This window comes from Homo sapiens, chromosome 12 (assembly GCF_000001405.40).
Source record: "Homo sapiens chromosome 12, GRCh38.p14 Primary Assembly".
NCBI lineage: Eukaryota > Metazoa > Chordata > Mammalia > Primates > Hominidae > Homo > Homo sapiens.
Genome location: NC_000012.12, coordinates 127899362 through 127927195, shown reverse-complemented (window position 1 = coordinate 127927195; position 27834 = coordinate 127899362). Strand labels below are relative to the sequence as shown.

The following is a 27834-nucleotide window of genomic DNA, read 5'->3' as shown; positions in this document are numbered from 1 at the left end:
TTTGCAAGGAACTGTTCTAACATATATATATATATATATATATATATATATATATATATATATATATATGCCTTAACTACTTCCATCCCATAATAATCTTATCATGTAGGTCATATTTTCAGCCCCATTTCACAGACAAGGAAACTGAGGCACAAAGGTGTTATTTAGCTGGGATACAGATGTACCACTAGGAGACGAGCACAGGTTTATGAGACAGACTTCAATATCCAGGCTCCTACCCTTTATGCAAATCTCCCATTAGGGCTTCCACTCACTTTATAGATATCATTTTTTTTTCAATTTGGCTACGCAAAAACTTCTGGACTCATGAGCCTGAAGGGTGAATTGAGCTGTGATTTCTCTCAAATGTGTAAGTGAAGTAACTCAGGAATGGAAAACCAAATACCGTATGTTCTCACTTATAAGTGAGAGCTAAGCTATGAGGATGCAAAGGCATAAGGATGACATAAGGACTTTGGGGACTCAGGGAACATCGGGAGGTGGAGTGAGGGATACAAGACTACATATTGGGTGCTGTGTACACTGCTAGGGTGACGGGTGCACTAAAAGCTCAGAAATTACCACCAAAGAACTTATCCATGTAACTAAACAAAAAAAATATCTATCAGTTTTTTAGTCTTATGAGCCTGCCTCTGGCTGCAGTTTCGTTGCCTTGCTATAATTTGACAGGCAATGCCATTTTTGTTAATTCCTAAATGGCTGGTAATTGGGATATTAATTCTTACTTTAGCCTGATGGTTATTTGCGTGTTTGGACATTTATTTTCCTTATCATTTCTACTTATAGTTCATGAATATTAGAGAATGCCTGGCCTTTTAATAGTTGAATTTTTAAATTCTTTATTTGAGATAAACACTATAATAAAGTTTTCTAAGTGTTAAAAAAACCCAACACAGAGGTACTGTCTTGAGTGAACATTCTCTGGCTCTCAGCATGCAGTGTACAGACCAGGAGCACACTGGCCAGCAGATGTCAGGAGTTCCTCATGGAAACCTAGGCTCTGGGCTCCGGACTGAATTCCGTGGGAGAGTAACAATAAACAGCTGGCCTGTGAAGCCCCTCTCCTCAAGGCCAAATCTCCCTCACATGACCCCAAGATACGATCAGGTACTTGGAGTTCTAGAAACACAACTAAGCCTAACCGGATCAAAGACAGGGCCTACAGCAGTGATGGAAATACTAAATAGTGGTTATATTTTTGTATCTTCCATGACTTGCATCTGATGAGCCCTAAATGTCTCAGGGAGGATGGCTTATAAATGCCGGGTGAGACAAATGACTCTCATGCTTTGCTTTTATGACTAAATTATAGTAAAAACAATCGACTCTGCAGGACTCCAGTTCCTACTTTTTCCTATTTGACCATTGTTCTGTTTCGATTACGAAAAGGTTAATGGTGATGGAGATATGTGTGACGATGCCAGTTACCATGTATTGAGTGCTCGCTAGGGGTTAATTGCACGTTGAACAAATATGAGTAGTTTCTATTTAATCCTATAGCAGTTCCTCATATATTTATTGTAAACAATTAAAAATACAGTGATATGGTTTGGCTCTGGGTTCTCACCCAAATGTCATCCCAAATTGTAATCCCCACATGTCAAGGGAAGGAGGTGATTGGATCATGAGGCTGGTTTCCCCATGCTGTTCTCATGATAGTGAGCGAGTTCTCATGAGATCTGGTGGTTTTATAAATGGCAGTTTTCCTGCACTCACACTTCTCTCTCCTGCCACCATGTGAAGAAAGTCCTTGCTTCCCCTTCGCCTTCCGCCATGAGCGTAAGTTTCCTGAGGCCTCCCCAGCCATGTGGAACTGAGTCAATTAAACCTCTTTCCTTTATAAATAACCCAGTCTCAGGTAGTATCTTTACGGTAGTGTGAAAACAGACTAATAGACATAGATTTAAAAACATAAAGCAGAATACATATAGAAGCATATAATCAATGTCACCCAAAATAACCACCTTTTGAGGCTAAACCATTTAGGTGCAAGCACATTGAGAATCATTCTATCTTCTCAATGATTTTAAACTTTTATAAAGTCTCTTTATCTCTAGTTGTACATTTTATCTTAAAGACTAATTTGTCAGATATTTTTCTGGACACAAAATCTTTCTTCGGTATGGCTTGCATAGTCTAATTTTTTCAATCTTCCTCTGTCTCTGTTTGAAGTGAATCTCCTATAAATATACATTTATTTTAATCCAAAGAGATGCTTATATTTGTTTTGTTAGATTCAGTCTCCTTATACGTAATGCAATTCTTAATATATTTGGGCTGTCAGCTTACTCTGCTTTTGTTTTTCAGTTTGTCTTGCCTGTTTTGTCTTTTCTTATTCCAAATTAGAAAATGTTTATTTACATATTTTCCCTATGAATTAGGAAATTATAAATAATATTACTCTTTCTAAGGGATTATCTTAAAGATTGCAATATGGATAACTGACATATTAAAGGTTACATTAATTGTGGCTTTTCTTCTTTTCCAGGAAAAAGCAAAAATCTTAGAATTGTTTAACTTCATTTATGCACTTTTTGAATTAAATGTCATTTTGCCATGCATGTTAATTCTGTTTATGTGTGCATTAAATTTCTCACATGACTATTTGTATTTGTGTTACTGTTTTATGTGGTCATTATTCATTCTGCATATTCACCCTTTGTGGTGATTTAATTCCTTCTTGGTTTTTTGTTATTGTTATTGTTTTGGGGTTCAGGGTGTGTGCGTGTGCGTGTGTGTGTGTGTGTGTGTGTTTTGGCCAAGATTTGGGATTATTTCATTCTTCCTGAATAACAACCCTTGATATTTTCTTTAATCTGGGTCTTCTGGTAACAAAGACAGTTTCTCTTTGTCTGAAATGTCTTTATTTCACTATCATTCTTAAAGAATATTTTTGCTGAGATACTTTCAATTATTTTGGTTGAGAAGTCACCTGTCAGTCTACACATTTTTTCCCTCTAATTGGAAAGATAACAATGAATTTTAAAGAACTAGACTTTAGTTCTGGAGGGACATGGCTGAGAATCCTGGCTCTGCTATAACTAGTGAGTGCCTCAAGCTTTCACACCTGTGAAATGGGGATAACAATATCTCCCTTGCTGTGATTTTGTAAAGATTGGAGATAAATTATTATTATTTTTTAGACATGTGGCCTAATGGGCACTTAAAATAATAACAATATTATTATAAATGTTAATAAGTTAATAACTTTCTTATAAATCCTTCTTGTTCAGAAAAACAAACATCTGTATAGCCCCTGCACATAAGAGCAAATGGACCAAATTTGATATTGTAAAAATGATCAGATTGGATATTTTAAAATTATTCTTACTACTAAATTCTTTTCATTCAAGTCTTGCTAACCCTTTTCTCTTCAATCTTTATCTCCACCATAAAAGCTCTCCTCCTGTTAATACATAAAGGGCGGAGTGTGGGCACCAGAGCACGTGCAGGTTCACGTGAGCACAGGAAGGTCACAAAGAAGGGGAAGGCCACACACAACCTGATTTGGTTGCAAGACAAATTTTCTATCAGAAACTCATTAGTAGGCTGAATGCGGTGGCTTATGTCTGTAATCCCAGCACTTTGGGAGGCTAAGGCGGATGGATCACCTGAGGTAAGGGGTTCGAGACCAGCCTGGTCAACATGGTGAAACCCTGTCTGTACTAAAAATAACAAAAATTAGCCGGGCATGGTGGCAGGTGCCTGTAGTCTCAGCTACTCATGAGGCTGAGGCAGGAGAATTGCTTGAACCTGGGAGGCAGAGGTAGCAGTGAGCTGAGATCGCGCCATTGTACTCCAGCATGGGCAACAAGAGTGAAACTCTATCTCAAAAAAAAAAAAAAAAAAAAAGGAAACTCATTAATGCTGGCTCAGGAGTTCTGACAACATTACCTTTGTTTTTATAGGTTCTTACAGTAGAGATAAGTTTGCAAAGGCCAGTGTTTGCCTATTTTTCTAATAATTAATTCCTTTCCTAATACCAGATGTGATCTCAATCATTCCATAATGCCACACATTTTATTAGCTTTGTCTCTCATATAGGGATTACTTATTTGTTTTTTAGAAGGGCTGAACGAAATAGAAGTTTAATTCCTTCACACGTGGCCTGTAAGAGAGTCACCATTCTTACTGAAGCTGAGAAGGAAGTTCAAGAATGAGAAGGAAAACTATCTCTGATCTTCTCCAAAGACGATAATTTATTTACAGCTGTCTCTTCTCTTGTCTTTACCTTTATTATTAAACACACACAGGCACACGCACGCACACAGGCGCACACACACATATACACACATGCACACCACACGCACACACATGCACACCACACGCGCACACACATACACACACATGGTTTCTTTTGTTCAGTCATTCAAATGGTTTCACTGTTTCCTTGGTTTCTTCAAAGATTCCGTGATGGTTTTATTGGTTCTCTCAATTGCCCCTGTGATTTCCTTCGAACTAATTTCTCTATTTCTAATTCTTTTCTTTTTTCTACTCACTGTTGCTCTTTTGTTCTATTTTTTAAAATTCTCACTTCCAGAATGCACGTATGGTGATGTGTCCTCTACACACCGTTTCAGTGCCTGTCCCAGGATCTATCGGCCTTGTTTTCATTGTGGTTCAACTCTAAATGTTTCTCATTTTTATTATAGTTTCCTGTTTTATATAAATTCCAAATCTATGAAGATTTGGTTTACTTTTAATATTTTCTGATTTAAAAATGTGTTTTCAGCACTTTGGGAGGTTTGAGGCAGGGGGATCACTTGAGCCCGGGAGTTCAAGACCAACTTGGGCAATATAGCAAAACCCCATCGCTACAAAAAATACAGAATTAGCTGGGTGTGATGGCATGGCCCTGTAATCCCAGCCACTTGGTAGGCTGAGGTGGGAGGATCACCTAAGCCCAGGAGATTGAGGCTGTAGTGAGCCAATGTGGCACCACTGCACTCCAGCCTGGGTGACAGAGTAAGACCCTGTCTCAAATAGAAAAAAAAAAAGTCTTCATAGAGGGGAACAACACACTCTGGCCTACCAAAGGGTGAAGGATGGGAGGAGGGAGGGAGTCAGGCAAAGCAACGAATGGCTATTAGGCTTAATACCTGTGTGATTATAAAATAGTCTATACAACAAACCCCCATGATGCAAATTTACTTATATAATAAACCTGCACATGCAATCCTGAACTTAAAATAAAAGTTAGATAAATAAATAAATAAAAAGAATATTTATATGGATGAAATCAACTGCTCAAAAAAGTGTTTTGTTTTATATTAATTGTTTAAAGATTTTTTATATCATTAGAAATGATATTTTGTGTTTAGAGGAAATGCATATTCTTTCATTTAAGGGAATGGGTTGTATATAAGTCCTTTAGTTAAAATTTGCTCAACTAGTGCTTATACTTACTCATTTTCATCGTTTGGCACATCAACTTCCAAGTAAGGTATGATAAACCTTCCTGCTCTTATAATTGTTTGTCAAATTCACCTGATATTTCTGACAATACATATAGCAACTTACATTTAAATTATGTTCTTAGTTAGTTACAATTTTAAATTTCTCACAAACTTGTAGGTTGTCTCTTACTCATTTAGTATTCTATTTGTATCCAGAACATTTTTGCCTAGAATACTATTTTCTCTGATATTTAATAAAACTTTATCAGCTTTTCCCTGGTTGGCATTTATTGTACATACTTTTCCCATTAGTTTTCTGGTATTTTGTCTATATCATTGTATTTTTTTCTTCACCTTTTATTTTAAGTTCCAGGGTGCATGTGCAGGATGTGCAGGTTTGTTACATAGGTAAACGTGTGCCATGGTGGTTTGCTACCCAGATCATCCCATCACCGAGGTATGAAGCTCAGCATCCATTAGCTATTCTTTCTGATGCTCTCCCTCCCACTACCTCCCCCTCCAACAAGCCTCCGTGTGTGTTGTTCTTCCTCATGTGTCTATGTGTTCTCATCATTTCAGCTCCCACTTATAAGTGAAAACATGCGGTGTCTGGTTTTCTGTTTCTGCGTTAGTTTGCTGAGGATAATGGCTTCCAACTCCATCCGTGTCCCTGAAAAGGACATTTACAACTGTATCTTTAAATGACTTTTGTACTATGCTTGATTTTTAAAATCTAAATATTAGGACACTGTAACATAATTTCAAATTATACGTACTTAACCACCATAAACTCAAAATACACAATGCCAAATTGTTAGAATTATATATTATTATTATTACTTGGAATTTTAGCATCACTTGATTTTTAATATTTGTACATTTAATTATCATTAAATTTATCATAATTCTTATTATTTTCTGACACACACATATATATACACACATACACACACACACACACACACACACACACACACACACACACACATATATATATATATATATATATATATATATATATATATATATATATACTTTTTTTTTTTTGAGACAAGAGTCTCTCCCTGTTGCCCAGGCTGGAGTGCAGTGGCACAATCTCGGCTCACTGCAACCTCTGCATCTTGGATTCAAGCAATTCTCCTGCCTCAGCCTCCCAAGTAGCTGGCACAGGCCACCATGCCTGCCTAAGTTTTTGTATTTTTAGTAGAAATGGGGTTTCACCATGCTGGCCAGGCTGGTCTCAAACTCCTGACCTCATGATCTGCCTGCCTCAGCCTCCCAAAGTGCTGGGATTACAGGCGTAAGCCACCACACCTAGCCACTATTTTATATTTTTAAAGCTTGCTTGAATTTACTCACCAAGTGCTATCTAGACACGGGCTTAGAAAAATTCTGCTTGGGGTTTTGATGTAAATTCTTGAATCTGAAGGTGCATTTTAAAAAAATGAACTTCAGATCATGCTTAGATTAAGCTCTTCAAATGCTGCGTCTCTTCGTCCTTCTTCTCTCTCCTTATGGAACACCTGCCTATTTTATCCTTCATGTCTCTTAACTTCTGTGGAATATTTTTCAGGGCTTTGTCTCTCTGTGTTCTGGGTAATTTCCTTAAATCTATGTTCCAGTTTGTTGGTTCTGTTTTCTCCGAAGTCCTTGCTCTTTAAAGAGGAAAAATACATCTCTGTGTCTGTCTATGTATAACCCGTACCTATATCCACCTACACCCACTCCTGCATCTAAATGTGTATATTCACATAGAGGTACATGTATGGGGATACAGTTATTCTCCATTATCTGCAGAAGATACAGCCCAAGACCCTCAGTGTATGTGTGAAACTGCAGATAGTATAAACCTTACATATAGTATGTTTTTTTCTATACGTATATAACTATGATAAAGCTTAATTTATAAATTAGGAAGTTGGATATGGTGGCTCTTGTCTGTGATTCCAGTGCTTTGGGAGGCAGAGGCCAGAAAATTGCTTGAGGCCAGGAGTTCGAGACCAGCCTGGGCAACATAGTGAGACCCTATCTCTACAAAAAATTAAAATTGTAAAAGTATAAATTAAGCACAATAACAGACTAGCACTAACAATTAATAGTAAAATAGAACAATTTTAACAATATACTGTAACACAAGTTTTATGCATGTGGCTTCTCTCTATCTCAAAATACCGTACTATTTTTGAACTGTGGTAACTAAAATCAATGAAAGCTAAGCCCCAAATAAGGGGGCCCTACTGTGTACATATAGGAATAATTAAACAAGTTTAAAATAACATCATTACTAGCAATAATTACAGTGGTTAACACACAGCTTGGGAGTCACACTGTCTGAGCCATTCTATAAATGTAATAGTAGCATTATTATTACTTAAAATTTTCTAGGGCCAATTATGTGTCTTGCACACGTTATGCAAAACACTCATTGATTTCCTTACAAAACAATTCTGAGGGCGATGCCACTGTAGCGCTTATTTTAGAGAGGAGAAAACTGAAGTGCAAAGGATCTGTAATTCAGCCCAGCTCACCCAGGTAGCAAAAAACAGGGCTGAAATTTGAACTGAGTGTGGCCAGAATGCACAGCCTGCCATGCCAGAGTCCTGCACCCAGTAGATCATCAGTGGAAGCTGGCTTGATTAATGAAACAATGAATGAATCATTACCAGTCACATCTGCCATTTCCTGGGAACCCGCAGTCAAGAAATTGCAGGACTTCAGGGGAGCCATCATACACTCACAATACTGATAGGCAGATTGGATTGTTCCCTCTTATGAAGATTAAAAAATGGAGGCCTTGGAGGCGTGGAAAGACTTTGGCCACAGCCACGTATCAGTAGAACCAGATTTTGGAGTCCAGATTTTCCTGAAGGAGGCAGAAGAGAGAAATCATTTCTGTGATTGTCTCCCTTCTTGGCCACACCCCAACTGAGTTGCTTCTGGAATATATAGGAAGAGCAAGGTCCATAGAAATATAATTCTGGGGAGGGGAGGGCAGGCTGTGTCCACAGCAGTGACATCACGAGAGGCATGCACCGACAGCAACAGCACAGAACACGGGGTGTGTGGAGGAGACAATCACCTGTGAGCAGACCTCATGGAATGTGCTCAAAACAGACTTAGTGTGTTAAGCCATTTTTACATTACTAAAAAGGAATATCTGAGACTGGATAATTTATAACGAAAAGATGTTTATTTGCCTCACAGTTTTGCAGGCTGTACACAAAGTATAGTGCCAGTATTTGCTTCTGATGAGGACCTCAAGAAGCTTAACAATCATGGTGGAAGGCTAAGGGGAGCCAGGGCATCACACAGGGAGGGTGGGAGCAAGAGAGAGAAGGAGCGAGGCAGTGAGAGAGTGAGAGGAGACCAGACTCTTTTCAACAATCAGCTCTTCTGTGAACTCACTCATCGCCAAAGGAATGGTGCTAAGCCATTCATGAGGGATCTGCCACCACGATCAGGATGTGCCACCACGATCGGGATGTGCCACCACGATCGGGATCTGCCACCACGATCCAAACACCTCCCTCCAGACCCCACCTCCAACACTGGGGCTCCCATTTCAACATGAGACTTAGGGGGGAAAATGTTCAAACTATAATTACCCAGGATGGCATAGGCTACGCCTTCCTTGCCAGGGTTCAGGTGTCAAAGAGGAAACAGGGAAAACACAGGCAGTGGTGTCCAATGGCTAGGCCTACAGTGTGTTTGCGCAGGGGGAAAGGACAAGGGCAGGCAGGAGGGGCAAGATGTAGGGAAAGAGATGCAGAAAAGCCCTTTCTCCTATCAGAACCTCTCTGGAAAAAAATAATGTATTGATTCTGAGATTCCCATTTCTGTGCTTTATGTGTGTGTGTGTGTGTGTGTGTGTGTGTGTGCGCGCGCGCGCATGTGGTCTTCTCACATCGCCTTTGATTTCTCTTTGCAAAGGAAAACTGAAGTCTAATGGTGCAAACGCACTGGCCTTTGCAGAGTTTTAAAGAATAATGATGATTCTCTTGTTAGCCCAACATTATCTTTGTTCAGATTTCAATTCATGAGGCACGTATCCCAGGGGCCCAACCCAAACAAAAGAAAAGCTTCACAATTAAAGTCTTATTAAGAGAAATCAAAATAGGCCAATGAGATTTTTTTCTTTAGACCCTTGAAAGTGAAAGACTGACAATGCACTCTGAAATGGTGCTGTCTCTGCTTGCATAATTTTCAAAAGCATAGTCACCCCATCTGCAATGATACTTCATCTGCAAACCGTTAAGTATGTATCTCATTTTGTTCCATAATAAGAAACCAAAGACATATTTAAAGTTGCTTGGAAATAAGGATGAGTACTTCAGGAGCCCTAAGTGGACAGAGATAAATAGAGTTGATATTTCTCACACTTCTTGCCGAAGAAGAATAAAGAATGCACATCATTCCTTGTACAAAGACAACCATTGATGTAGCAGTTTTCCAAGGGCTAAAAAGCATTACTTTAATCCATATATAATGAGTCTTCTCTCTGTGTCAGGTGCTGTTTTAAGGTCTGAGATGCAGAGGGGGCACAGTCTCAATCCCCTTTGAGACTAATGTCACACAGCGTACATGCGCCCTCTGCACAGTGGGGGCCTAGAAGATGAGTCTGTGTTTGATGGAACAGATTATTTCTTTCTCATTGAGTTGATAACCTGTATTAGCTCCTTTTGCTGCTGCAACAAATTACCACTAGCATAGTCTTACAACAACACACATGTATTACCCTCCAGTTCAGAAATCTAAAATGGGTCTTACTGGATTTGCAGGTGAAGTATCACTGCGGATGGGGTGACTATGCTTTTGAAAATTATGCAAGCAGAGAGAGCACCATTTCAGAGTGCATTGTCAGTCTTTTCAATTTCAAGAGTTTAAAGAAAAATCCTCACTGGCCTATTTTGATTTCTCTTAATAAGACTTTAACTATGAAGCTTTTCTTTTGTGTGGGTTGGGCCCCTGGGATATGTACCTCATGAATTGAAATCTGAACAAAGATAATTTTGGACTAACAAAAGAATCATCAACATCATTATCCCTTAAAGGTGTCTTCAAGTCTCAATTTCTTCTGAGGCTCTCAGGTAGAATCTATCTCCTGGCCGTTTTCCACGTCCAGAAGCTTCCAGTGTTCCTTTGCTCATGTCCACATCACTCCTATCTCTGCTGCCTTTATCACAGATCCTCTCACTCTGACCCTCCTTCCTCCTTCTAATAAGGATATGTGTGATTCCAATGGGTCTGCCAGGATAGTCCAGGACAAGCTCCCAGTCTCTCCATTAGATTAACGCTCATCTCAGTCACATCTTCACAGTCTCTTTTGCCACGTAAGGTAGCCTATTCATAGGTTCCAAAGATTAGAACATCTTCGAAATGTTTGGAGAACAATTATTCTGCTTATGTATTGGGGGCATCTTTGAGGGAATCAATTATTCTGCCTATCACAGTGATCAATATTTAAATACCAGAACATTTACCATTTATACTTTTGGTTAAAATATGAGCTTTAGTTAATAATAACAAATACACCATACTAATAATATACCATACTAACATATAGTAATTATTGCTACTACTAATACCAATGTATAATACTATACAATATGTATTATTAGTATGTATTATTATACATACTAATATATAATAATTATTAGTAACACGCATAGTAATGAATAATGTATGTCACACATACTATGCATATGTATAACACTATACTAATGTATAATACTATACTAATATATAATAATAATATACCATACTAATGTAAGATGTCAATAATAGGGGCACTGGGTATCCCCATTGGGTTTACAGGAACTCTGTACTATCTTTGCAGTAATTCTGTAAAGCCAAAAATAAAAGTATTAAAAATGACATTTCCTGCTGCCTTGAAAATGTGGGAAATCAATTAACAGTGGGGCATGCCAGCATGGAGACAGTTGACTGTATGAGTCTTTGTTGGGACACACCCCTTTCCGTTAACTGAAGTCCCTAAAATGACCTGCTTCATTCATTGATGCCATTTCTCTAGTGGCTTATGGAATTTGAGATTGTGACTCTTGAGTAAAGTAATTGAACAGACAATTATGTAATTACCTCTGCGCTCTGCACCATGGAGAAAGAGGTCCGTAAGTTCCCAGTGTGTCCTTGAAGGGGAATCTTGCCTCTTCTCAGGCTCAGGTTGGTCCCTCAGAGTCCCTCCAAGTCAGATGGAGAGTCAACGACAGATGTGCAGGCAGGTGAAACTTCTTCTTCTCGCTGTACTTTACAGATTATAGTAATTTCAAGCTCTATTAAATGAGGATGCATCTTTGCTGGTTGATGTCCCTGTTTTTCTGGTTAAGTGCATTTGTTTCCAGGAGCTGATGTGCTAAGAGAATTGTTGCCTAAGATCTAGACAAGTCATCCCAGTTATTGTGTGGGAGGGAAGGGGAAAAGGAGGTGGTGGGTTGTTAAAAGCTGGTGGAAAATATGCCTGTGGCTAAGAATAATGTAAATCCTGGTATTATAACTTTAAGCCAGGTGCTGAGCCATTACAGTATTCAATTATTTTGATGCTTCAAGGCAAATGTTTCCAGGTCTGAAATTCTAGTCTACTTGACATTCAACAAATGATATTGTGTTTTCATGGAAAGATGCCCATTTATGAAGGGAAGAATTCATGTCATTCAGCCTGTTCCCTGCCTGCCATCAGCACCCCCATTAATACACCTGTTACTAATGTAAGGTAGTCACCTTTAATGTTTTCTAAAGGAGAAAGAGTCTACAGCCTTCTGCGGAGATACTGCAAGGTCAGGGAAGGCCACATCAGGAGAAAATCAGCCTTTCTTCCTATTCTATTTTGAACTAGGAATCTTGGAACTGTAACCAAATTCTGTCATTTTCCTTACCTTTATTCCTGCACGTAGTTGCTTCTTAGCTAAGTTAACCTTACTTCTTAACCTTCCTTGATGAAAATTAAGAAGGAAGAACAGAGGGTCTGAAGATCTGAAAGCCGTATGTAATTTTCTAGGTTACATATAAAATATCTGCCTTATCATCATAACTATCATTCGCTGAACACCTTTCACAGGCAAGATACTGTACCACACACTTCTCGTATAGTATGCCACTAACTTCTCATCGAAATCCTTTGATGATATAACCCACATTTATCTTGTGAAGCAGTCAGCAAACCACAATCCTGAGGTCAAATCTGCCCCACTGCTTGTTTTTGTAAATGAAGATTCATTGTTAACACAACTGTGCCCGTTCATTTCTGCATTTTGTATGGCTATTTTCCCATGAAAAGAAAAGAATTCAGTAACTCAGTGGCTGCAGTTCTGTCCTGGTAGCCAACAATGTTGAAAATATTTCAAAGTCTCACCTTTTACAGAAAAGAGCTGGTGAACCCCTGATCTAGTACCATGTCTTAAGAAATACATGAAGACTAATGCATTTAATCCTCCCTCACAACTTGGCAAGCACATATTGCTATTTTCCCAGTCTTGCAGATAAGAAAATGAAAGATACAAGGAGTTAACTTGCACAAGGTCAAAGAGCTTACAAATAGTAGAGACAGCAATCAAATCCAGCCCTTTACTCCATAGCTGGTTATCTTTATACCACAGAACATGACAATCACCTGCACTCAACAGCCCAATCTATTTTCCTACTACCAAACTTCTTTATCAAATATGTGTGTTTATTCTTTCCAAAAGAGATCTAATGTGCTTGCAAAACCATCAGTCTGTAGGAATTCAATATATATGGGCCTGTATCAGCACACAGACGCATGCTTTGTAACATGAGGACATTATAACTTTAAAACTTGTGTTTCTGTCATTTTTATTCCTCTGAATAGTTTCTTTCCTAATTTGTTTCCCACACTTACTCATTTAATAAACTTTGAAATCAACTCACTAATAACCATGCTTAATGAGAACAGCACAGGCTCCCCCAGGCTCCAAAGAGTTACATTAGTTAGTTTCCTTTTAAAGATATATCACATATTTCCAATAATTTTATTCTAGAGGGCAGTAGGATATGTTTCCAATAGAATAAAGCTTTTGGCTATCTGCAAGTGTCACAAGTGAGCTATGTGTTGTGGTACTTAAAAGCAGGGCTGGGGCTCGGCTGCTGGGGTTTGAATTCACACTTCATTACTTAGTGGCTCTGTGATTTAAGAAAGTTACTTAATTTCTCTGAGCCTCATTTTCTTTGTCTGAAATGAGCACCGTCAAATGCTAGATAACAATGCCTGTTACATATTAAGAACCATGTATCGGCCGGGCACTGTGGCTCACGCCTGTAATCCTAGCACTCTGGGAGGCCGAGGCGGGGGGATCACGAGGTCAGGAGATTGAGACCATCCTGGCTAACACGGTGAAACCCCATCTCTACTGAAAATACAAAAAATTAGCTGGGCACGGTGGCGGGCGCCTGTAGTCCCAGCTACTTGGGAGGCTGAGGCAGGAGAATGGTGTGAACCCAGGAGGTGGAGCTTGCAGTGAGCAGAGATCACACCACTGCACTCCAGTCTGGGCGACAGAGTGAGACTCTGTCTCCAAAAAAACAAAACAAAACCACGTATGAGACCACTAATATGTGAGGGAGATAGAACTGTGCTTAGACATATTACTGTATTCCTTGACTCCATCAACTACAAGGATTATCAGTCTCCTCAGGGCATCTGAACATTGTAATTATGAACATGTTTCTTGACAGTGTGATGAAATTTGTAGATACACGTAAGACCTGCTGCATCCTGTAGAGCTATTTGCTCCTACATTTAATGGCCCAAACGGAGATGTTCTTGGAGGTCCCGTGCCTGCTGTATTTGCATTATTTTCCAGAGTTTTCTTATTGCCCATTGTCATTTCCTGTATACTTTGCTCTGTTTCATTTTGTAATTTGCTATTTCTGATCTGCTGTGGTTTTGTAAACCAGAAAACCAAACTCAGAAGATTCACGTGCAGAACAAGTTGTTAGTTTTTCATGGATGAGCTTTCAGGTTTGCACGAGGTATTTTCATTTCGAATTTTCCTCCATTGTTCTGGATAGGTGGGGGACCACAGGTTTCCTAGGCTCGTAAAGACATTTAGCATCCCCCCAAAACCTGGGCAGCCAAAACAGAACACTGACTCTTTTGACCCTGAATCTCCAGGTGATGGAAAACATTCTTTGCACTCGCATCTTTTCACGGTAGCGCACTCAGGCTCCCCTCAGAGTGTATGGGCCCGACGCTGTCCAAGAAAACCCACGACTGCCAACCCTCATCCCAGCCAGGGAAATTGTGCTGGATTCTTCATGAACCAGCACATTTCATTTATGACACCCAGTGATTAATCTCATCACCTCACTATGAGTACCATCGTTGCCAAATTACAGCATACTTGGAGTCCTCATTACACTCATTGATTCAATTTTAGTGTGACTGAGTTATTGACGTGGATGTGAATTAACTTATTTGTCGGCAGCCAAAGGCCAGTAATAGAATTTAGAGAGAAATTATGTCTAGATAACACTCAGCGTGGGTGAGAGTGTCTGATTTCAGTGACTTAACACAACAAGGAGAGGTCTTCTGGGGCTTGCCAGTAGGCAGAGGTTCTCTGGCATATTATCCTTAGCTATCGTCAGCCACTTGGATGCACTGTCTATCAGGGTAGTAGAAAACTGCAAAAGAAGTAAGAAACAAAGCATGTGAATTTTTTTTGCATGGGTAGAACTACTTAGAATTCTAGGAAAGGAATCTATTTTATATCCAAAATCAAACACTTGCTTTATTCCTCAGGCCAAGGTTCCATATATTAAATATGACAAAATACAACTGGTTCAAATATCATGCTAAGTGAAATACACCATTCACAAAAGACAAATACTGTAGAATTCTTCTTATACCAGGTACCTGCAATGGTCAAATCCATAGAGACAAAAAGGAGAATGGTGCTTGCTGGGGGCAGGGGAAATAGGAATAGCGTTTGGTTTTGCCAAAAGGTGAAAATAGTTCTGAAGATCAATTGCACAACAGTGCGAATGTGCTGCACACCTACCAATGATTAAGAGCGTAAATTTTTATGTTATGTATATTTTACCACCATTTAAGAGATTCCACAAAGTTTAGTAGCTTAAAAGACAAAACCAACCAACCAAATATGAAAACACTAACTGATTTAGACAATAAATCTGAAGTCACTAGATGCTTTTAGCAGGGATTGTTTCATGTAGAGAATTAAAGGTTGACTCAGCAAAGGAAGGACTGAGCCGGCAAAGTCAGAAAGGCTGCTATAAATCTTGCAAATTATGTTGGCACCCAAGTGGCTGATGCCCAGGAGGAAGTCAGGAAACTGGCACCGCTTCGTGCTCACCATCCACCAAGGCCCACATGCGTTTCTGCACCTGCCACTGGAGACCAATGCCTTCCCTGCTTTTTACCTTTTAAACCTCATGCACCTGACGTTCACTTGGAGACAAAAATTAGGACTCTACTAGCAAGGCAGCCTAGATCATCCTTAGATAGAGTTTTAGAAGCACAGAGGTAACATTAAGGCTTAATAAACAATCAGGTGCAATCTCCACTGGAATTTTTTTTTTTTTTTTTGAGGCGGAGCTTCACTCTTTTGCCCAGGCTGGCGTGCCATGTCTTGGTCTCAGTTCATTGCAACCTCTGCCTCCCAGGTTCAAGTGATACTCCTGCCTCAGCCTCCCTAGTAGCTGAGATTACATGTGCTCACCACCATGCCTGGCTAATTTTTGTATTTTTAGTGTAGACAGGGTTTCACCATGTTGGCCAGGCTGGTCTTGAACTCATGACCTCAGATGATCCGCCTGCCTCAGCCTCCCAAAGTGTTGGGATTACAGGCTTGAGCCACCACGTCTGGCCATCCACTGGAATATTAAGAAGTGAAAATTAAGAAGCAAACCCATGTTTTTTGAAATTACCACCATATTTAGAGAAAATACAGCAAGTGTGAGGTAAGAGAGGAAGGTAAATGAGATGGAGACAGGCACTTCACTATGGACATTAAGCTCTGACTGTGTTCCACAAAGAACATCAAACTGGTAATACAAAGATGATTTTTAGGAAATAGAGTAGACTGTGAAAAAATAGAAATTTATTTTAATGAGTATTGAAGATCATACAATTAGCACAGAAAACTGTGATTTCAGAGATGTTATTGATGATGGCTGCTAAATTTGGTAGTAATGAGTTCATGTATCTTCCACAGACAACAACATATTTTAATTCCAGGGCCCAGGAAGGAAACAAATAAGCTTCCTCTCCCACCAACAAAAGAAATATAAAAGAAGATTTCCAAAGTTTGGGGAACCACAACATTGGTGACTCACAACTATTTGCAAATACTTTTCTGTTACATCTGGTTTGTTTGTTTGTTTGTTTGTTTGTTTGTTTGTTAACAGAAAAAGTGGCAAATAAATTGTGGACAAGTATTTTTTAGCAGCTTTATTGAAGTATAATTAACATACACTAAACTGTGCACATTGAAAGTGTGCAGTTTCCTAAGTTTTGCTATATGTATGCACCTGTGAAAAACTCCCTTCAATCAAGACAATGAGCCCATCCATCTTCTCAGAAAGATTTTTGTTTTTTGAGACGGAGTTTTTCTCTTGTTGCCCAGGCTGGGGTACAATGGTGCGATCTCGGCTCATGGCAACCTCCGCTTCCTGGGTTCAAGCGATTCACCTGCCTCGGCCTCCCTAGTAGCTGAGATTACAGGCATGTGCCACCACGTCTGGCTAATTTTTGTATTTTTAGTAGAGACGGGGTCAGAGAGATTTTTCACCTTGATTTGTAATCCCTCCCTCACACCCCTCCATACCACCCTCCTCAGACAACCCCTTCTCTGCCTCCTGTGACTATAAATGAGGTTGCATTTTTCTCAAACTTCATTTAAAGAAATCATAGAATGCGTACTATTTTTTTGGTCTGGATTTTTTTTTTTTAGACAGGATCTTGCTGTGTTGCCCAGGCTGGAGTGCAGTGGTGCGATCACAGCTCACTGCAGTCTTGAACTCCTGGGCTCAAGTGATCCACCCACCTCAGCCTCCCGAGTAGCTTGGATTGCAGGTGTGTGCCACCACAGCCGGCTAATTTTAAATTTTTTTGTAGAGACAGAGTCTCACTATGTTGCTGAGGCTGGTCTCAAACTCCTAGCCTCAAGCCATCCTCCTGCCTTGACTTCCCAAAGTACTGGGATTACAGGGGTGAACCACTGCACCCAGCCTGGATTCTTTTACTCAGCGTGGCTATTTTATACTTCATCCATTTTATTCCTAATATTTAATAAAATGTTATTCAATATTAAAATATTGAATAATATTTTGTTTATTGTTGATTAGTATTCCTTGTATGAAGATACCACTCTCTGTGCATCCATTAACCTGTTAAGGGACACTTGGCTGGCTTCCAATTTGGGGCTATCCACAAATAAGGCTGCAGTGAAAATCCATGTGCTGGCTTCTGTGGATATACCTTTTCATTTATTTTGGGCAAATGCCTAGGATGGTTGGATCATATGTTAGGCATATGTTTAACTCGAAGAAATTGCCAAAGTACTTGCATTCCAAAGTCATTGTGGAGTATTTCTTTCACATTCCTGACATTAGTCTTTTTATTTATTTATTTATTTTTGAGATGGAGTCTCACTCTATGGCCCAGGGTGAAGTAGAGTGGCATGATCTAGGCTCACTGCAACTTCCGCCTCCTGGATTCAAGCACTTCTCCTGTCTCAGCTTCCCGAGTAGCTGGGATTGCAGGCGCCCACCACAATGCCCTGCTAATTTTTGTATTTTTAGTAGAGACAGGGTTTCGCCATGTTGGCCAGGCTGGTCTCGAACTCCCAACCTTAGGTGATCCACCTGCCTCGGCCTCCCAAAGTGTCGGGATTACAGGCGTGAGACACTGTGCCCGACCCCATTTGTCTTTTTAATTTAGCTATTTAAATAGATGTGTAGTAATCTCTATATGTAGTAATCTCTTATTTTTCTAATGGTTAATGGTGCAGAATACCTATTTGTGTGCCTGCTTTCCATATATCTATGTTGCTGAAGCACCTGTTCAAATTTTCCTCCCATTTTTCACTCATGTCATTTTTTTTCTTCTTGAACTTTGAGAATTCTTTATATTCTAGATACAAACTTCTTGTCAAATTTATGATTGCAAATGTTTTCACCCAGTCTGTGGCTTGCATTTTTATTCTCTTTAGTTGTGTTTTATATAAAAAGCATGTTATGATTTTGATTAGTGCTAATTTTGTTCTTTTTTTTTCAACATTGTTGTGGCTATTCTAGGTCTTTTGCCTTTCCATATAAATTTTAAAATCAGTTTGTCAATTTCTATTTAAAGTATCTTCATGGATTTTGATTGGGATTTCATTGAATCATAAATTGATTTGGGAAAAATCAACATGTTAACAATTTTGAGAGTTCTCATCTACGAACATGATAGATCTCTTTGTTTATAGTTTTCCCAGCAAAATCTTACAGTTTTCAATGTAGGTCTTTCCCATTTTTATTATTTATCCCTAAGTATTTTATATTTTTGATGCATTATAAATGGAATTTCAATTTGGAAGTCTGACTGTTCTTTGGAAGTATGTAGCATCTTTGAATTTCAATTTGGATGTCTGATTGTTCTTTGAAAGGATTTTTGTAGTTTGATTTTGCTGAATCTTGTGCTTGGACCCTGCCAGTGTTTTAAGCAGTTCCAGTAGGTTTATGATAGAGTTGATTGGGTTTCCTACATGGAGTTTTTCCACTCTCTATATGGTGTATAAATAAAGGCAGTTTTCCTAATCCCATTCCATCTGGGTGCCTTTTATTTCTTTTAATTGCCTTATTGCACTGGCTAGAACTTCCAGTACAATATTGAATACAAGGGATCTAAACAGGCATTTTTGTCTTGTCCTTGATTTCATGGGGAAAGCATTCAGACTTTGCCAGTAAGAATGATGCCAACTACTGGTTTTTCAGTAGATGCCTCTTACAGATTGCAAGGATCTTCCTTGATGATTAGTTTGGTTAGAAGTTTATTTATTTATATTTTAATCAGGAATGAATGCTGAATTTTGCCAAATGCTTTTTAACATCTAGTGAGATTATCTTATGACTTTGCATTTTAAGTTTGTTAATATGAAGTAAATAATTGATGAATATATAAATTTTAAACCAACTAGGCAATCCTAAGATGAGCAACACTGGATCTGGAGGTATTATGATTTTTTTACACTGTTAGATTCAGTTTGCTAAAATTTTATTTAGAATTGTTATGTTTATGTTCATGAAGGATATCAGTCCTTAGGTTTATTTTCTTGTAAAGTTTTGTCTGGTTTTTTGTATTCTGGCCATGTTGGCCTCATAGTTTCTTTTTTCAATGTTTTAAAGTAAATTTGTAAAATTAGTATTGTGTCTTTCTTAAATATTTGGTAGAATTCAACGGTTAAACCATTTGGAACTGGAATTTTCTTTAAAGAACTTTTTAAACTAATAATGCAAATTTCCTTATTAGATATAGGGCTGTGGAAGTTAGCTCTTTGTTCTTAACTTGAGCTTCAATAGTTTTGTTTTTCAAGATTTTTTTTTCTATGTATGTTTTCAAATTTACTGCTACATAACTGTTCGTAATATTGTTAGCAGCATTTTAGCGTCTTTAGAATGTGTAGTGATGCCATCTCTCTGCTCCCTGGTATTATGAATTTGTGTGCCTTTTTTTCTTGATCAGTGTGAAAGGTATTTATCAATGCTTTTTATATGCTTTAAAAACAAGCTTTCAGATTAATTTCCCTCTTTTTTTTTTCTATTTTCCATTTCATTGACATCTACTCTGAGCTCTTTTAAAAACCATATTCTTTCTTCTGCTTCCTTTGAGTTTTATCTGTTTTTTCTAGTTTCTTAAGATGGAAGCTGAAGTCATCGAAGGGCTTTTCTTCTTTTCTGATACAGGCATTTAAACTTCCCCCTCCCAAATTCTGGGTCATTGACATCCTGCAGATTTTGATATTGTGTTAAGATTTTCATTCATTTCAAAATTCTTCCTGATTTTCCTTTTAATGTCTTCTTTGACCCATAGAAATCTAAAACTGCATATTTAATTTCTGAAAAATTTGAAAATTTTACGGAAATCTCTCTATTATTGATTACAATTTTTAATTCCTGTGTGGTCACAACATATATTTTGTATTACTGAAATGCTTTTATATTGACTGAAACTTGTTTTTTTTTCCCCAAGGTCACAGATTATATATATATATATATATATATTACTTGAAGTTCTAGGTTGCACAGGATGTGGTTTAACTTGATGATTATTCAATGTACAGTTGAAAAAACTGTGTATTCCGCTCTTCTTTAGTGGACTATTCTATGAAGCTCAATTAGGTCAGGTTCATTGTTAGTGTTGTTCAAGTATATTATATTCTCACAGATTTTTCCATTAGGCCTATCAATTTTGGGGAGGAATACTGAAATCTCTGATTATAATTGTGGTTTTGTCTACTTCTAGTAGTTCTATCAGCTTTTGCTTCATATATTTTCAAGTTCTGTTAATAGGAGCGTAAATATTGAAGGTTATTATAGCCTCTCAATGCATTGACTATTTTATCATTTTGAAATAAACTTTTTTATCTGTGATGATATTCTTTGCTGTAAAATTTACTTCATGAGATATTAATGTATCAATTTTACTTTTCCTTGGTTCAGTGTTAGCAGGAATTTTTTCCATTATTTTAATGTTAACCTATATGTTTCTTTATACTAAAGTGGGTTTCATAGTTGAGCCTTCCTTTATATTCAAAATAAAAATATCTGCCTTTTTAGTGGGAGTATTTTTACATTTACATGTAATATAATTACTGATATGTTTAGAATTAAATCTATCATCTTACTATTTATATTATAGTTTCCTCAAATGTTCTTTCTTCCTCTTTTCCTCTTCTGCCTTCTTTTGGATTAATTGAATATTTTTATGATCTCATTTTATATTCTATGTTTGCTGATTAAATCTTTGTTTTGTTATTTTGATGCATTCTTAAGAGTTTAAATTACACAACTGTAACTTATCACAGTGTAGTTTTTTTCAATAGATTTAAGCGGTATAAGTGCAGTTTTGTTACATAGGTATATTGCCCAGTGTGGCAAAGTGTGGGCTTTTAGTGTAGCCATTACTTGAATAGTGCACATTATACCCATTAAGTAATTTCTCATCCCTCATTCCCCTCCCAGCCTCCCTTCCCTTTGGATTCCCCAGTGTCCATTTTTTCACTCTGTATGTCCATGTGCACACATTTTTTAGCTCCCACCTGTAAATGAGAACATGCCGTATTTGACTCTCCATTTCTGAGTTATTTCACTTAATATGATGATCTACAGTTATAGGTGTGGCAAAGGACAATCACAGTATACTTTAAAGTGATTTATACTACTTTGCTTAAGTATAAGAAACTAAAATAGTGTACTTCTATTTCTTCCCCTAAACCTTTTGCAATTGTTGCCATACTTTTACATAAAACTCACATTACATTGTTTTTGTATTTGTTGCAATAGTCAATTATCTTTTAAAGAGATTTATAATGAGAAATGAGAAAAAAATTTTAGGTACTTATCCATGAAATTATCATTTCTAGTATTGTTTATTTCTTTGTGGACATCCATTTTTCCTTCTGAAATCATTTTATTTTTGCCTAAAGGAGTTCTATTAATATTCCTTGTAGTGTGGGTCTGTTGCTGATAAATTCTTTTATCGATCTTTTGTGTAAAGAAATCTTTATTTTGCCTTTACTTTTAAAATATTTTTCTGCGGATAGACAATTGTCTAATACACAAACCATTTTTTTTCAGTTTTTAAAATATGCTGTCCGACTCTCCTCTTGCTTGTCTTGTTTCTGACAAGAAATGGTTCTCATCATTATTTTGTTACTCTGTATCAAATACTTCTTTTCTCTGACTGCTGTTAATATTTTATCCCTGGGTTTGTCTGATTTGATTATGATGTGCTTTTGTGTATTTTTCTTCCTGCTTCTTGTGCTTTGGGTTGGGTTCATGGAGCCTCTTGGATCTCTAGTTTTGATAAAACTAGGTGAAAAAAAATTTAGTCACTATATCAAATCTATTTTTTTCTGTCACCCCCTCTTCATCTTCTCCTTTTGGAACTTCAGTTACTCAAATATTAGGTGACTGGGATTGTTGTGCAGCTCACTGATGCTCTTCTCATTTTTCTGTTTTCTCTTTTCTTTGTTTCATTTTGGATAATTTCATTCTACTGTTACAGTTTTATGTTCACAGTTCTTATTCTGTGATGCTTAGTCTGTTGTTATTCCTCCCCAGGGTATTTTCCATCTCAGACATTGTGGTTTTTATCTCTAGAAGTTTTAATTGGGAGAGATACGATTTTCTACATGTTAAAACACTTGTATCTATTCATCACATATGTAGATATGTAGATTTTGACATATATGCATGGAAGTATATACAAATGCACGTACTTACGCAGATAGTTTCGGACTTACAATGTTTCAACTTAGGATTTTTTTAACTGAACTATGGTGCAAAAGCAATATTTATGCAGTAGAAATCATACTTTGAATACTCATACAATACAGTTTTCCACTTTCAGTGTGGTATTCAATAAATTACATGAGATATTGAACACTATATTATAAGATAGGCTTTGTGTGAGATAATCTTGCCCAACTGAAGGCTAAAGTAAGTGTTATGTGTATGTATGAAGTAGACTAACCTAAGCTATGATGTTCCGTAGACTGGGTGTATTAAATGCATTTTTTACTTATAACTTATGTTGAGTTTATCTGGACATAACTCTGTAGTAAGTTGAGGAGCATTTCTATCTGTATGTGTGTGAGCGTGTCAGTGTTTATGTGAGGGAGAGAAAGAAAGAGAGGAAATAGCTTTATTTACCTCGTGGAACATATGAAATGCAGTTATAACAACTTCATTCATGTACTTGTCTAATAATTCTAACGTCTGTGTCAGTTCTCTTTTGTTTCTGACTGATTGGTTTTCCTCTTTATTATGGTCATATTTGTGTGCTTATTTCCATGCCTAATAAATCTGGATCAGATGCCAGACACTGTACAGTTTACCTAGTTGGGTGAGGGTTTTTTGTTTTTGTTTTTTGGCATTACTAGAAATAATCCTGGCTTTTGTTCTGGGATGCCATTATATTTTATGAAAATGGTTTGTCAGTTTTAGAACTTACTTTTACAACGTTTTCGTTGCAACTTGAACAGTGCTCATTGTAGGTCTAATGATTCGTCCCTTCTTGAGTGAGATCCATTCTGCACTCTGTGTAATACTCCATGAAGCATGAGGCTTTCTGTTCTTGCTGGCGAGAACAACAACTACACTTGGCCCTGAATACGGTTATCACAAATTATTTCAAATATTTCTTTCCTCTGGCTTCAGGGAGTTCTTCACATTCCTCTGATGACCGGAATTCTGTTTCATGTTGATTGAGGCTCCCCTGAAGAATGTGGGAGTTCTTTCTCTCTCTCAAGAGAGTGCTGCTCTCTCTCTTCTTCAGTATGATGTCCTCTTGATTCTGGTCTGCTGGTCTCTCAGAGTCCTCAAATCAAAGAGCTTTCTTTTTCCCTGTACCACAAGAATACTCTCTTGAGGTCGTGAACTAGAAGCATTGTAGTATCCATCTAGTTTGTCTTCCATCCCTCAGGGATCAGCGTTCCTTGTTGGCTAATGTCCAATGTCTTAAAATCTATTGTTTTAAATATTTTTATTTCTAGGCTTTTTTTTTTTGTCTGTATCAGGTGGGAGGGTAAAACCTGCTCTCATTACTCCATACTGATTGAAAGTGGAAGTGTTCCTACTCTTTTGTATAGTAAAATTTAAATAAATGATTTTAAATGGAATTATATATACAGTTGATATAAAGAAAAAGGCACAAATCATAGGTGTAGAACTCAACAATTTTTTTACAGTTAACATGCTTGTATAACCACCATCAAAATTAAGTCTTACTATACTACTGGCCCCCAAGAAAGACCCCTTTTCAACCCTGTAAGTCACCACCACACCCAGAATTAACTAACTGCTATACTGACTTTCAGTGATCATTTGGATGTGTTTTTTTTTCTTTGTAGGAAATGCTTGTTCCAAAATTTCCCAGCATTTCTGTTGAATCTCCTCTTTTTAAAAAATATATTTATAGTGTTTCTACAGCTTGCCTTTTCCTACTGGTATTTTTGTTCCAACAGTTATATTGAGGTATTATCGACAAACAAAAACTGATATTTTTTATGTGTGCAGTGTGATATTTTGATATTCATGTGCGTTGTGAAATGACCATAGTCAAGCTAATTATTGGTGTTTGTTTGTTAAGTAAAACTCTCCAATTTAATGTAGCTAAATTTATTTTTTCCTTTAAGGTTTTTACTTTCCATGAACTAATGAGAAAATATTTTCCTGACCCAGTGTCATAAAGAGATTCTCCTATACTCCTTTCTAGAAGGATTATCATTATATCTGTAACTTATAGAAGTGCAGGCAATTTAGAGTTTTGTGTATAACTTTTAGATAAGTCTCAAGAATCATTTTTTGTCTGCATGAATATTCATTTGATCTAGCACCATACATCCAAAGAATGATTCTTTCCGCCACTGTACTATGGTGTCACTCTTGTCATAAATCAAGACAACGATTAACTGTAATTTTCATCTCCCCGAAACTACGAGACTGCTGAAAGCTATGTTTAGCTTTTCAGTCTTTTAATGAGGTTTCTCTGCAGGTTCTTTGCTTCTTTCACTGTGCAAATAAGGCATTCTCAAATGCCTTGAGTTGAGAAGAATCTCTGAGTTCATTTCTGTTTTTCCCATTTCTCTGAGATCTTAGTCTTTAAAGTTCTAGCTACCTTGATGACCGTGAACTCCAATTTTTATTTCCTTGTCCTTGAGAGGCTGCTGAGAATGCTACCTTGCTTCTGTTTTATGCTAGGATTTCTACTGAGATTCACAGTCCCCCATCCCATCACACTTAAGCTGGTAAGTGCCTAATGGATAAAGGTTGTGCAAAACAGTAGCTGACACCAACCGGGCTCCTTTATACCGAGGTCTTTGTCGCTCATGGTCTCCTACCCTTAGGGCTCTCCAATGTCTTGAAAAAGGTAGCTTAGGCCAGGCGCGTCGGCTCACGCCTGTAATCCTAGCACTTTGGGAGGCCGAGGCAGGCGAATCACAAGGTCAGGAGATAGAGACCATTCTGGCCAACATGGTGAAACCCTGTCTCTACTAAAAATACAAAAACTAGCTGGGTATGGTGGTGTGTGCCTGTAGTCCCAGCTACTCGAGAGGCTGAGGCAGGAGAATTGCCTGAACCCAGGAGGCAGAGGTTGCAGTGAGCTGAGACCACACCATTGCACTCCAGCCTGGCAACAGAGCGAGGCTCTTTCAAAAAAAAAAAAAAAAAAAAAAAAGCTTAAAAATATTTTGGCTATATGCTTTTAGTTTCTCTTGTTGGGAGATTTGGTTGGCTGCAAACCCTGGAGCAATTCACTTTTCATATTTTCCGTTATGTAATCTTTTACTCACTTTCATTTCGTATCATATACTGCCACCATTTTTGGCTTAGACACAATCACGAACCTCTGAATCTCCCTGAATGTAATCATGGAGCAGTGGTCTACACAACTCATCTCAGACGATGTATTTGAAGATTGAAACCAAATTCACATTTATCTGAGTACAGCTGTAAAGTGAGTAGCATTAGGATAAACATCATGTCTTCCAGCATTCACCTGGAGGTGTAGACAGTGAAACCCAAGGAGTACATTTGTTAGTTCCCAAAGAAGAGTTTTTGTGATTATCTGAAAGAAATCTTTGATTGGCACAGAAAATAAGCTTTAAACAAGGGCTGACTGGAAGACAGGGAATGGGGAATTCAATAGTGATTAACACAATCCAAATATTTCCTGTGACAATATTTCTGGGGTCTAGGGAGATGCCATTTCAGTTCTCAAGGGTTTATTTCTGCCAGCTTTCAAATGGCATATGAGCCACAATATGAAAATAGGAGTATTATATATCATGGTGCCCACATCCCATTAAAGAGTCGTCTTTGAGGATCTGTGCACATGACCTCACATCTTAATGGGAGAGCAGCAATGACAGGTCCGCTTCTCTGGAGGGTGAGCAGCCCCCATTAGGATTTGCCTGTGCTTCACATGCCGAGTCATCTGTGTTTGCCAACCATATTACACGCAGGCATCCGTTAAGTTTTCTACAGTGTCATTGTGTTTAAACTATGGGTCTTTTTCTTTTTACATATGTCCCTTGTAGATAGGCCAAAAGAAGTCACAAAAAGATCACTCATAAACCCATTACATTCTTGAATATTTGAAGTATTCCTTTCCAACATTTCTTTCTATCCATGAATGAGAATGTATTTTTTTGCATGCATGTAATATATTTTTCTTTACTTATTCTTCAGTGATACATTCTCATGAAAATAAACAAACATAAATCATGCTTCCTTACTGAGGTGGAAAGGAACCAGGAAGACTACTTCTTCCTTGCCCCCACCTCAGTTCCATCTCGTACTGTTTTCCTGTTACTCACGACATGCCCGCCACACAGGAACTTGTTGGTTCCCTGCGTGCACGAGGACTTTCTTGTGCTATGCATGGCTGGTTCCTCCTTTTTTTTTAAGTCTCAGAGTCAGTGCCTCCTCTGAGAGACCTTCCCTGATGACCCCTGTGGAAAATAGGCTTTCTCTTTTCTATTTCTTATCACAGCTCCCTTTTCTTTATAGAGTTGCTATAGTTTGTAATTATTTAGCTTATTGACTTGTTTATTATCCACCTTTCCCACTGGAAAGCAAGTATCAGTTACTCAGAGGCGAGGCAGGCATTTTCTTAAACCATTATCTTCCAGGGCCAGCTTGGGAATCTGGGAACAGGGCACAAAAAATATTTGTTAAGTGAATGAATTAAATGAACTTGGTTTTAATAACTGTATAATAAACTATTGGATGTGCAGGGAGTGGTGGCTCATGCCTGTAATCCCAGCACTTTGGGAGGCTGAGGCGGGTGGATCACTTGAGGTCAGGAGTTCGAGACCAGCCTGGCCAACATGGTAAAACCCCATTTCTACTAAAAATACAAAATTAGCCAGGCATGGTGGTGCATGCCTGTAATCCCAGCTACTCGAGAGGCTGAGGCAGGAGAATCGCTTGAACCCGAAAGACAGAGGTTGCGGTGAGCTGAGATCGTGCCACTGCACTCCAGCCTGGGCAACAAGAGTGAAACTCCATCTAAAAAAAAAAAGTTCTTATTTAATCTATTGTTGGCTATTTATGCTGATGCTATTTTCTATCATTGTAAATGTAAACAGGTTTCCTGGCTGGATATGAGCTGAACCTCACATAGGTTATGTTACAGATTTGGTAACACACACTC

The 27834-nt window shown here is 38.0% G+C and overlaps 2 long non-coding RNA genes across 2 annotated transcripts in view; one reads left to right on the top strand and one right to left on the bottom strand.

Annotated features, from left to right (window-relative positions):
• LINC00507 (long intergenic non-protein coding RNA 507) overlaps positions 1-11786 on the bottom strand; it is a 36143-nt gene extending 24357 nt beyond the window's left edge. Inside the window, exon 1 of the long non-coding RNA NR_046392.1 lies at positions 11514-11786. This is a non-coding gene — a long non-coding RNA (long intergenic non-protein coding RNA 507). The remainder of the gene's footprint in view (positions 1-11513) is intronic.
• LINC00508 (long intergenic non-protein coding RNA 508) overlaps positions 1-27834 on the top strand; it is a 99903-nt gene that overhangs the window by 56696 nt on the left and 15373 nt on the right. The gene's annotated exons all lie outside the window — the stretch shown is intronic.